This window comes from Homo sapiens, chromosome 11 (assembly GCF_000001405.40).
Source record: "Homo sapiens chromosome 11, GRCh38.p14 Primary Assembly".
Lineage (NCBI taxonomy): Eukaryota > Metazoa > Chordata > Mammalia > Primates > Hominidae > Homo > Homo sapiens.
In genome coordinates, this window is record NC_000011.10 from 64,511,705 (window position 1) to 64,525,074 (window position 13,370).

General features: G+C 45.7%; 1 annotated feature.

The window, feature by feature from the left end:
- Nucleotides 11,809-12,009: a silencer, noted in NCBI's record as "peak1297 fragment used in MPRA reporter construct". NCBI's record gives its function as "represses an SCP1 promoter by STARR-seq MPRAs in K562 erythroleukemia cells {active_cell/tissue: K562}" and the evidence as "EXISTENCE:reporter gene assay evidence [ECO:0000049][PMID:32103011]".

The following is a 13,370-nucleotide window of genomic DNA, read 5'->3' on the forward strand; positions in this document are numbered from 1 at the left end:
GCCTATGGGCACCAATAATAATCTGGTAATGCCTGCTATGGTATTGCCCCCATCCTCAGTTGGGGTCTCGGCTCCCTGCAAGGTTCTCTCAATCCCCCCCATATATCTGTGGGTGTCCCACCTGTGCTCAGGCCCAGGCAGCTGCCAGCTGGCATCTGATGGGCACCAACACTGCTGATGCTTGGCACACCAGCGCTGGTCTTTGCTGGACAAAGCCGTCCCTTCCCTTGGCCCAGTCCCTGGCATCTGTCTCCGAGTGCCCTGGGTGGCAGGTGGGGAGAAGGCTCATCTCTATGGTTTGCTGAAGGGCTCAGGCTATGCCATTAAGCCCTAGGTGCCTGGAAGGTTTTGCAAGAATAGCTCTTTCAGGTTGTTACTCACGGTCTTTCTAGGACCCGGATGTGGCCAGGCTAGGCAGGGGCCTGGGCTGAGCACAGAGGCTGATGTCGGTTATGGTCTCGGGGTCCTGCTCCCTGCAGTGCAACCTGCACTTGTTAATGCATCAGCCTCTCCTGCCCGCTCCTGCCCCCTGTTCCTCCAGGAAACAGGGTTCTAGGCCTGCCCCATCATTTGCTAGAAACTCGCATCCCAGCTTGAGCTCACACTGTACTCGGAATACACAGTTTCCTCACAGCCAGAAATGCACATCAACCCATTGGCCATATTCCTAAATGTGCAGCAACTCAGACCCTTCCATGGAGCATCTGGTACCACTTGCTATGGGGTGCCACTGAGCACAGGAGGAGTGAGAGACACCTTCAAAGATCAGGAGAAGGTGGGGACAGAACTGAAGTCTCCAGACTTCTTCTGGCTTCAGTTCTCCAACCAGGAAATGAGCGGGTTGTACCTGTTGACCTCCAAGGACACTTTAAGCTCTTTAAACCATTAGGAGAAAGAATTAAACATTATTGGCTGGGTGTGGTGGCTCACGCCTGGAATCCCAGTGGTTTGGGAGGTCAAGGGAGGATCACTTGAGGCCAAGAGTTTGAGACCAGCCTGGGTAACATAGTGAGACACCATGTCTACAAAAAATTAAAAAATTGGCTGGGTATGGTGACACAAACCTGTAGTCCCAGCTATTCAGGAGGCTGAGGCAGGAGGATCATTTGAGCAAAAGAGTTTGAGGCTGCAGTGAGCTACGATCACGGCACTGCACTCTAGCCCGGGCGACAGAGTGAGACCCTGTCTTAAAACAAACAAACAAACAAAAACCCACCTGAGCCACCTCTCTTTCAGTGACCTCATTTGGAACATCCATCCATTTTCAGCCTATTTTCTTCGCAAATAGGAACATTATGGTTACGAATTTCCCTACAAGTATTGCTTTGGTGGCATCCCACAAGTTTTGGTGGGTAGTATTTTCACCACCATTCAGTTCTGAGTATTAGAGATTTCCACTATGATTTCTCAATGGACTCATGAATGACTTAGAGGCATAGTGTTAATTTGTTTTTTGATGAAAGGGTAGGTAATACATTCAAAAGTTTCAATATTCAAAACGCATAAAAAGTCTACAAGGAAAACTATTTTTTCTACTCCTGTCCCCCAGCCAGCCACCCATAGGCAATTACTATTATTCATTAGCTGAGAGTCCATCCAGGTAAAGTTTATGCACACAAAGTAAAATGTGTATATATGAATATAGAAATATATATTATGTATGTGTGTAAATATGCATATATTGCTTTTCCTAGACAAACCTTACTCCTTCAGCTCTGAAGTGTGTTTTAGCTTGTCCTTAGAAAAATGTCTTAGAGATCATTTGGCATCAGTATGTGAAGAGCTTCCTCATTTGTTTTTACAAATGCATTGTATTCCATTGAATTTGATGAACCATAATCTAAATGTCAGGTTCTCTATTGATATATATTTATGTTGTTTATAGTTCTTTGAAATTTATAAACAACATTGCAATAAAAACCCTTTCTTTTACCCATTATTTCATAGGCAGCAAGCAGGTCGGTAGAAGTGGAGTTGCTAAATCAAAGCATATGTGCATATCAATTTTGACAGCTGTTGCCAAATGCTTTCCATTGAGGCTGTGCCGTATCTACCTAGAGCAGCGTAGAGTGAGAGGTCCTATTTACCTCCTGGCTTTTCCAACAGAACGTCCTATCAAATCTTGGTTCTTTGTTGATCTATTAGTGAATAACAGTATCATTCTAGCTTTATTGATATTTCTGTTATTGTAAGTGAGGTTGAGCATATTTTCATGTTTTAAATTAATTTATACAGATCTTGGTTTTGAAATGCCATTCTCCAGTGAAAGGAACTGGGGATCCTTGGAGAAATGGCTGATTCTAGGTCTGGGGCAGGGAATATACAAGATCAGCCTGGAGCATCTTTCAGTGTTGGAAGCAAGGAAGCACTCAAAACACAACAAAACCAGAACAACCCACAGTGACGGGGTTATGTCAAAGGCTCATGGGAACCAACTGCAAAGGCTCCCAGCAGCCTAAGAACCACTTGAGCAGCAAAATAAATAATGTAGTGCTGGACCATAGCCCAACGTATTAAATAAATATACATCAGTCCACGTATAAATAAATATACATCAGTCCACATATAAATGAATATACATCAGCCTGCATATAAATAAATATACATCAGTTCACACATAAATAAATATACGTCAGTCCACATATAATATACATCAGTCCACATATAAATAAATATACATCAGTCCGCATATAAATAAATATACATCAGTCCACATATAAATAAATATACATCAGTCCACATATAAATAAATATACATCAGTCCACATATAAATAAATATCCATCAGCTCACATATAAATAAATATACATAAGTCCACATATAAATACATATACGTCAGTCCACATATAAATAAATGATTGAATAAATAAATAAATGGGGGGAGAAGGGACAAATCTTCCTTATAGAAGAATCCCAAAAATATATGTAGATATCCACCCCGTAGATGGTGAAGTTTAATTCCCCTCCCCTTGAGTGTGGGCTGGATTTAGTGATTGGCTTCCTAAGAATAGAAGATGGGAAGCAACAACAGTAGCTTTACCGTGGAGGAAACTGCAGACACCATCCAAACCACGTGATGATGGTCAACATCACCAATGATGCCACGTGAGTACCACACACACCCCCTGCTGTGATGTGATGAAGGGAGTCCTTAAACTCATATCCCCTCTCTAGTCATGAAAAAAGTCAGACAATCCTAAACTGAGGGACATTCTATGAGATACCCGACCACTACTCTTCAAAACTGTCGAGGTTATGATAAACAAAGACAGATGGAGATACTGTCACCAACCAGGGGACACCAAAGAGACACATACATGTGAGTGGCACTCTAGATATGAGCCTGGGACAGAGAAGGGAATTATTGAGAAAAATTAGTAGAATATGAACAAAGCTTATAATTTGGTTAATAGTAATGAATGTGCTAATGCTAATACCTTAATTTTGACAAATACACCACAGTTATTATGTAAGATGTTAGCATTAGGGGAACTGAAAGAAAGGTGTACAGAAAATCTTTGTATTATCATTGTAATTTTTCTGTAAATCTAAAATTATTCCAAAATATAAAAGGTTATTTTTAAAAAGTTATTTGTATTTTTTAAATGAATAGTTTACTCATCCCCTTTGACATTTTTTCTTTTGGTGATTAGCCTCTTTCTTGTTTATTTATAGAAGTTCTTTACATATTAGTCTTTGATTAATTATACTTATTTTCTCCAATTTGACTATTTTTTGATTTTACTTAAAGTCATCTTTTCCCATTCAGATTTTTTTTTTTTTTTATACAGGATCTCTGTCACCCAGGCTGGAGTGCTGTGGCACAATCATGGCTCACTGCAGTCTTGACTTCTTGGGCTCAGGTGATCCTCCTACCTCAGTCTCCTGAATAACTGGGACCACAGGTGCACATCACAATGCCCAGCTAATTTAGAAAACATTATTTGTAGAGACAGGTGTCATTATGTTGCCCAGGCTGGTCTCAAACTCCTCAGCTCAAGTAATCCTCCCACCTCAGCCTCCCAAAGTACTGGGTGTAAGCCACTGCACCCAGCCCAGAAATGTTTTAATTTATATAGTCAAATTTCTTCATTTTTTATTTCTTTTGTGCCTCTTAACTTTGTGTTATAGTTGGTAAGGGCTTCTCCCATTTCAATCTTATAAAATAATTATGCTATGTTCACTCAGTGCTTTTATTTTAAGAAGTACTGTTTTTATTTTTCCAGTATTGTATTCTTCCAGGTTTTAGAAATTTATTAATTTCTGAAGCTGCATCAGTTAGCACACAGTCAAGAGACAGGAACCACCCCAGTTATCTGAACAGAGAGGATTTAATATAAATAATTGTTAACTAGATAAACAGTTGTTAACTAGGTAAATAAAATGGTAAAAAAGAGAAATGTAGCCTATCAAGGGATTAGCAACCACAGGCAGCAGCTGCCACCCCCAGGGCTGAGGGAGCAAAGGGAAGAAGCTGGAATTATTAAAGCTTAGTAATTAAAGGAGAGGCCCCCTGGGCTTGGGACCCAGACTTCTGAGGAGAAACTCTGGTGGGTGCTGGTGTATCTGTGGGATAGAGAGGGGACAAGACGAAATTGGTTTGCAAATGTCTAAAAAACTGCAAGCTGGATTTCACAGCTGCAGGAACTGCTGCAGCCAGGGTGAAGCAGCTCTGCTGGGAGGATGCTCATCAGAACAGGAAGCCAACTGGAAGGAGCAGGTCCCTTCTTCCAGCCCAGCTTGTTAGTCTCTCTCTAGTGCCCCCTATTGGCAGACCCTAACAGGGATGTGACTGTCAAAGCAGAAATGTTTGCAGAGTTCCATCACCAGTATCACAAAACCGAATACAGAAGGCTGGTTTGGAAATGAGACAATAGTTTAATAACGGACCCACTTGCTTATGAAAAACAATTCAATGACGTTTGAACACTTCAGTTCACCTTATTCCATCTTATATTTCATTGGCGAATTACAGTGACTACAAAAAGTTGCCTTAGCTTTAGTTTGTTTTTTTAATCTTTCAAAATAAGTAATATATTACTATTTTATACAGTCTATACATCTTGTTAAGAATTATCCACATCACACCCGTTCATTTGCCCATAATTTCTTCTTCTTTTTTCCTCTATAAACTTCTCCATTCTCCTATTAGTGCTTCCTAAGACTACGAAAACAATCAAGTTGTACACAAATACTTGTGTCAGGGTCAGCTTCTAGGATAGCTAAAATTAAAACAGAGCCCAAAGGCTCCTGTATCAGAATTAATGAATGTAACATTTTAAACAGACTATATTTATACTGTTAAAAGAAATAAAAGATGGATTGAAAACATGAGTAAGATATAAGAGACTTCAAACATAACTAGGCACATTTTTTAAAAAGCTAATAGAATTCCTAGAACTGAAAGTATTATTATTGATATTAAAGACTCAATGTATAGACTGCAGAACATACTGAACACAGTTGAAGAGAGAATTGGTGAAATGGAATGTAGACACTATACAGTAAAAGTCCAAAGAGGAAAGTAAAGGAAGTCCATGGATGCATTACCAAGCAAGTGTCAATGTGAGCCACAGAAATGCAAAGCAGAGGAACTCTGGAGACAGTGCAGAACATGCATGGGGGCTATTCCAGTCTGGAGGTATTTATTTTCAAACTTCTTTTCATCATTGGCTGATGTTGCAAGGATGTTGCAGGGGAATTAATTTCCAGGCACTTCCAGTCTTCTCCCTGTGCATTGGGACAGAGCCTTTAGACAGACACTTGAAAAGGATGCCACCAGCATGCACTGGAACAGTGAGGGCTGAGGAGACTTGGGTGGGGCACCTAAGGGAACATCTGCCATCATTCACCCCTTGAACAGCTCAGATGCACTCATGCTGCAAGTAAAGTTGACTCTGCTCCATCCCTGCTTCTTCAAGGTTGTGGCCTATCACAATTTCTAAAAAATAACAGGCAGGTCAGGTGTGGTGGTTCATGCCTGTAGTGCCAGCACTTTGGAAGCCTGGGGCAGGAGGATCACTTGAGCCCAAGAACTCAAGACCAACCTGGGCAACATAGTGAGACCCCAGTCTCCACTAAATAAATAAAACAATTAGCTGGGCATGGTGGTGCACACCTGTAGTCCCAGCTACTTGGGAGGCTGAGGTGAGAGGATCACTTGAGCACAGTAGGTGGAGGCTGCAGTGAGCTGTGATTGTGCCACTGCATTCCTGCAGCCTGGGCGACAGAGTGAGACCCTTTCTCAAAAAAAGAAAAAATAATACAACCGGAATATTAGCAGGACGAAGTGCAGTCCCTGCCGCCTCAGTGGGTCCCAGGGCCATACCTGACATTCATTATCTCTTTCCTCTACCAACTATTCTGGATTCCCTGCACCCTGGGCCTGTACTTCTGCTGGTCTTGGTGGCTTGCCTGGTGGGGTGATGCAGACTTCATCCCTGAGGTGTCTGAGCCCCTGGTCACCACACCTGGCGAGGCCATGGCTGCTGCAGTTGCCCGTTCAGACTTATTACCATACCAAGCACCAGGAGGGGCTGCAGCGAATTCCTCAGTCTTCAGACAAAGTCCTTCCTGCTCCTATTACATGGCAGCATACAACCACCCTCACCAAATGCCACCTACTAACTGGAGTCCTTAACATGTCCCCATTGAAGCATTCCCCTTCCCCAGTGGGAAATAACACCCCTAGTCCAAGCAGAGCTTGAAGTCGTGGAGATGGGAAACAAATTCGCCAGGGAGTCCTGCGGATGATGGTGAGAGCTTCCGCCCCTACTTCCACCCCTACTTTCACCCCTTGGGTCCTCTCACTATAAGGGACACACACCATGGGGTGGCCATTGGTTCAGAGTATAGATCGCACCTTCCAACTCAGTGTCCCAGTGCCCTAGGGTGTCTTCCCCAAACTGGTTTCTTCCCCAAACATTCCACCCAGCCGGCAGATGCTTAGATGGAGACCCTAGTGGGTCCTCTTGTCCTGCCCATCATCACAACTATTTTGCTGTAATTTGATTCTCTCAGTTCAAGGCCATGTTATTTGCAATCCCATAATGGCAAATTAGACACCCCGTGAGTCCGCAGACTCACATGAGTCCAGAGTACTAGCTGGAGCCCTGCAGTCAGGCAAGGTAAAATCCTACCTGGAGTAGGGGTCAATTCTGGTCCAGAGGGCTTGCTGCTCCCTCCAGTGTAGGGGGATTAAATGCAACCAAGCTGCTGTCACATAGCGAGTTGGTCTCCTCCAGGGACAACACCATAATGAGGGCCTAGCGTTAGTCTCTGCTCCTGAACACGCAGGTGTTTAGCCGAAGCTGGATCAGCCTTTGTGAGCCGGACTCCAGGCACAGATGGAGTGAACCCATGCACGGTCTCCCAACCCACCACCGTGGCGACTCCTTGCACACACTCATTGTGCAAGTGCAGAGGTGGCTGTGGGCAGAGGCTGGTTGAGCTCTGCTGGCTGAGTCACCTTTTCTATCTGGTTCTTCAGTGCTTCATCTGCAGTTGATAATTTCAGGGGGCCAGCGGTGGTGTTGACGTAAGACAATGTGCTCACTCCCATTTGCTCATTCCCATCACTCTTTCCCAGGCCATTTTTTTCTGATCTTCCAATCTCGTTCCTTCCAAGTCTCTGACGAACCAGCCCAATCAGTTACCATTGCCCAGAGTCTGTGTACATCCTTACCTAAGTGGATAACCAGGTGCTTGCCTGAAGCTCTGCTGGCTGGATCGGCTTGGAGTGAGGCAGCATCCATTTTTTATTTGCTCCAATATATCAAGCCAATATATCAAGTTTTTTATTTGCTCCAATATATCAAGCCAATGAATGAGACCCAGAGGATCCCAGCCTCTGTTAGCCAGGTGAGGTGTGAGCTGAGAGAGGCAGGGATGCCAGAGATGGGTGACATGGGGTCTGGGCCACCTGTTTGTGTAACCTGTTTATACCATTAGGACCTGCTCAGGCATGTTCCTGACTGTTCCATTTTCATCATTCAGTGGATTGTTTTCATTACGGCCAAACACTCCGGCTTGGCAAGCCTGGTGATGCCCAGCTCAAGATGGGCAGCTCTACCACGGAGTCACTGTTGTCCTGTGCCAGGCATGAGTGTCTGTCTATGAACTACTTTTCAGTGGTGACCAATTCTCTGCTGCTGACAGTATTGCCTGGTTCTTGCGTCCACACCGTGAATCCCCTATCTATTCTTTCCAGATGCTTTCCAGGCTTTCCACAGCATCCCTCTCTGCCACGGGCAGCTCTGGCACCGCAGGATGTGAAAAGATGCAGCCCAAGTGGCAGAGTTACTTATCTGGCACCTGAACCTTCTAGAGAGAGAGACATTTCTTGCTCTCAGATCCAACAAAACCGGCAGTCTCCAAGTCATCTCATAAAGAGGTTGGAGCAGTATTCCCAAGTGTGCCATGACAAGAGATCATCTCCAAAGTCCCAAGAGGCTTACCAAGGTCTGTGCCTTTTCCTTAGTGGTGGAAAATACAAGATGACGTAACTCATCCTTTACTTTGAAGGGAATGTCTCAGAATGACCCACACCACTGGATTTTTTTGTTTTTTTTGAGTCTTGCTCTGCTCCCCAGGCTGGAGTGCATTGGCGTGATCATAGCTTACTACAGCCTCGACTTCCCAGGCTCAAGGGATCCTCCCACCTCAGCCTCTGGAGTAGCTGGGATCACAGGTGCACGCTACCATGCCCAGCTAATTTTAAAAATTTTTCGTAGAATTGGGGTCTCTCTATGTTGTCCAAGCTGGTCTTGACCTCCTGGGCTCAAGTGATCCTCCTGCCTCAGCCTCCCAAGTAGCTGGAACCACAGGTGTGCACCACCACGCCCAGCTACTTAAAAAATTTTTTTTAGACATGGGGTCTTGCTATATTACCCAGGATGGACCCCTGGATCTTTATTGAGATAGCAGACCCCTGAACCACTCTAGGGCTTATCCCCCACTCTCTGCAATGCATGGGTGCCTTACAAGGGCATGTAGGGTATGTTCCACTTCCTGCTTACCAGGTCTGATTAGCATGGCATCTTCAGTGTAGCATCCCTATGTGATGTTCTGTGGGATGTCCAGATGATTAAGGTCCCTGTAAATGTGTACTGCTGCTATTCCAGGTAAGTGCAAATCAGTTTAGATACATCTTCCTGATAGGGTTTGAGAGGGTACACACACCAGATCAACAGCTTTACACCGAATTCCAAGGCTGTGCTGATCTGTTCTACTGAAGACATTGTACATGGCACAACAGCAGCACTTGGGGCTCCCATGCGGTTGGGTTTACAAGAGTCCATCATCATCTGCTACAATTCAGATGACTTTTTCAAGGGCCATACTGGTGAATTAAAGAGGGATATATTAGGGACCACATTCTCTGCATCCTCTAAGTGAATAAGGGTGACACTCATCTCTGTCATGATGCTCAGACTTAGTATTGCTTCTGATTTTCCATCTTGTAAGTGTCTCCAGCCTAAACATGTGCTCAGAGACTAAAGAAATGGCCATAGATGGTTCTCCAGACTCACTGGCTTCCTGAAAGGTAGACTTGGGCCAGAACTTCATTTATCACGTGGCTTCTGTAGACCCCACTCTAATGGGGGCGGTCACGATGGTATTTTGGGTTCTCTGGGACCAGTGTCAATTCTGACACGTATCCATCAGTCCTTGAGAAATCTGGGCATCCTCCTTCCCCACTATAAAAGCTATTCTGATAAATAAGCAGAGCAGAGGGATTGGGAGAATCCTACTGTGTGGGCTTTCAGGATCCTTCCTCAAGAGGACCTTTCTTCCCTTCAATCCGCAGGCTCTGAGTCTGAGAACTAGCACGAACCTAGAAGTTGGCGAAGAGATAATAATGTTTCCATTGAAGTGGCTGGCCTCAGCCTTCTGCTCACACATTCTTATCCTTTTTTGGTTACATAAGTCAAATAAGCACACTGGCTGCCCACCTACCCTGCCTCTAGAGAGAACACAGTCTTTTTTTGTTTTGTTTTATTTTTTAGATGGAGTCTCGCTCTGTCGCCAGGCTGGAGTGCAGTGGCGCAATCTCAGCTCACTGCAACCTCCACCTCCCGGGTTCGAGCGATTCTCCTGCCTCAGCCTCCCGAGTAGCTAGGATTACAGACATGCACCACCACGCTCAGGAAATTTTTGTATTTTTAGTAGAGATGGGGTTTCACCATGTTGGCCAGGATGGTCTCGATCTCTTGACCTCATGATCTGCCCGCCTCTGCCTCCCAAAGTGCTGGAATTACAGACATGAGCCACTGCGCCCGGCCAGAACACAGCCTATTATTCGTTACCACAGAGCCCTGAATGTCAGGCTCCTGGTGACCTTTCCACCCTCATTGCACATTTTGGTAATGGCATCATCTTGCCTCTGAGGGTTAAGAGTGCTACATGGTCTCTGCCGTTTTGGGATCCTCTCTTCTCCGTGGACACTAGGGAGGCCAGTTCTATAGCAGCCTCCCGTCATCAATCCTGTACTGCAGATGATGACCACAACCGGATTTGGCAACGCCGCCGGGGCTTCCTTCACTGGTGCATGTCTTACAGTCTTCACAAGCAGAGTCCTCTGGCGCTCCCTGGGAACATACACAGGGAGTAAGTTCTCCAGTCTTCCATCATAACTTCATTGTAACACGTGCACCTTCTGAGCCACTTGATCCCTTTCTTGATCAAAATCTGCCAAGGTAACTCCAGCATTTCTTCCTCATCTACTGCAGGCCATTGTTGCTAAATCTCAAGATGGCAGCCTAGTAAAGCATTAGGCACAGCTCAAGCTGCCCTTGTCATGATGAAGACTCCTGAGTCACGGGACGGTGCCCCTTCATTGGTAAATTCTCCCCCTCCTGGCCTACTATTCCACCCCTAATCTTGCCCAGCACACTCCATCCACCCCCAGGCATGTGCTCCCAGGTTTGTAGGTGCACGTTAGCAGGAACCTGCAGTTCCCCTCCCTCTCTTCCCTCTCGTCTTCTCCGTAGTCTCTTCTCTCGTATTTGGCCACAGCCGGGCAAGCCTTCCCAGCTGGCCATGCAGAGACTTGACCATCTGCTGTAGGTGGGATTGTTCTAGCCCACCTTTCATGAAGGAAGCAGCCTCTCAAGGGTTCCAGGCTTACAGGTAGGAGGGGGCTGTCATTTCATCTCCTCCCTTCCCGTGGGCTCCAGGCCTTATTTCCCATCCCCATGGGGATCTTAAAACCAAGACCTCTGTTCAATTCCACAAAAACCATTTGCTCCTAATTGCCCAGGCTTTCTCTTCCATTTCCCTGTTTGTTCCATGGAGTACTTTTACGTTCTTGCAAGCCCAGCTATGCATTTCAAAGAATGTCTGTGGCATTTAATCTAGCATGTTTACAGGCTTCGTTTTCGTTGTTGTTGCTATTATTTTCATAATATTAAGTCCTTGATATGGTAGGAAGCAGAACTCCTTGTGGTTTCTCTTTGCTTTTAGCTTCTGTCACAAAAAAAGTCATTTGCTGTTGCAGAACAAATTGAACTGTGGTTTCCGTGCTAGCATGTTCCAAACAATTAAAGTACTTCTTGCCTCTTTCCACCCCCGGAACTTTGGGGGAATTAATTTGGGAGTTGGGAGCAGGTAGAAATTTGTAGTGGGAGGGTCATATTAATGTAGGATAAAATCACTGTGATGTGGGGCAGGGCACATCCTACTGTGCCCTCCTAACGCCCATGTAGTCTGCTTTTGATTGGTACTTTATCTTTATTTATTATATCTATTTATAAATATTTAGTTTTGTTTTCTTCTAGGTCTTTGCAGTTCATTTTTCCCCTCCTTTGACACATGTGCAATCTATTTTTGTGTGTGGAGTGAGATATGAATCCAACTTTCCTCCCCCATATGGCCAGTGAATAGTCCTGGTTCTACTTCTGAAGACGCTCCTGCTCTTGCCCACTGAGTATGACACATCCATTATTTCTGGGCAGGCGGTTCTGTTCCACTGACCGGCTGTTCATCCATGCATGGAATCAGTAGGAGTGTGTTTGGCTGCAAGTAGGAGAAAAAGAACCCCAAACCAGCTACGCCTTAGACAGGTGGTGGGTCACTTTTTCATGTGTAACTGTGAATCCAGAATGGACAATTTCTGGCATTGGTTCAGTCACCTAATGGTGCCACCAGGGACCACACCCTCCCCTTCTCTCTTTCCATCCATGCCATAACCATGTCTGTCACCTCCTGGGTACAGATGGCCACTGTAGCACCAGGCCTCTCCTCTGCTCTTGGGACAACGGAGCGAAGTGTGCCAGCAGCATCTGCCCTTTCATCGGGAGGGCGAGGTTTCCTAGAGCCCCAGCCGACTTCTGTTCATGCCTTGCTGGCCAGAGCCAAGGTGTATTCTGCTTCCTCCAATTGTAGGGAAAGCTGGAAAAGTGGGTAACTGGACTGTCCTGAGTGACTTAGAGCAATCGTGATTACCTTGGGCTGGGTGTGAAGGCAGGAGCTCCAGTCTGAACCGCTGTAGCATTGCAGTGCCCTGAGAGAATATTGTGCCTCAGGGGTACTTGTGCAGGAAAAACCAAACCAAAGCTAGAATTCCTGGATGTGGCTGTTTTCACACAGGGCTTGCATTCCGCCTGTGGGGGGTGTGACACACCCAACCTCCCCCAGCAGGACTGGATGATCCATTTAAACCACACCCCACTTGACCCCACAGGAGAAGGTGGAGAGCACAATGTGCCTCAGGGAGCCCAACTGAGTGAGGTGGGTGGCAGAGGGTGGTATACAGAATGACACTTGTGATATTACCATACCATAAGAAATCTATATTTGGTCTCTGCTCCTGGTTCTTGGCACACAGCCTCTAAAACCCTTGGAATCTCTGGCGTGGTAAGAGTGCCTTTAGTATGCTCATCAGATGACTGGTGGTTGGGGGCCCCTAGGTAGCCTTAGGATGGGACTGGTCACCAGAAAGACCAAGGCAGGACTAGCCAGCCCCACCTCCCAACCTCCAGGGAGCGGAGAGGGGCCGAAGGTTGAGTTAATCACCAATGGCCAATGATGCAATCAATTCTGCCTACAAAGTGAAGCTTCCATAAAACCCAAAAGGACTGGGTTTGGAGAGCTTCCGGGTTGCTGAACACGTGGTGGTGTCCCGAGAATGGCGCCCAGGGAGGGTGTGGAATCTCCGCGGCCCCCCTCACAGCCCTGCCCCATGTGCCCCCTCCATCTCGCAGTTCATCTGTGTCCTTTCTAATCTTCACAATAAACTATAACTGTAAGTAAGTGTCTCCCCGAATTCTGTGAGCAGTCCTAGCCAATGAATTGAACCCGAGGAAGAGGTCGTGGGGACCTCTTAGAGGTGATTGGTCAGAAGCACAGGTCACCACCCAGGGCTTGTGATT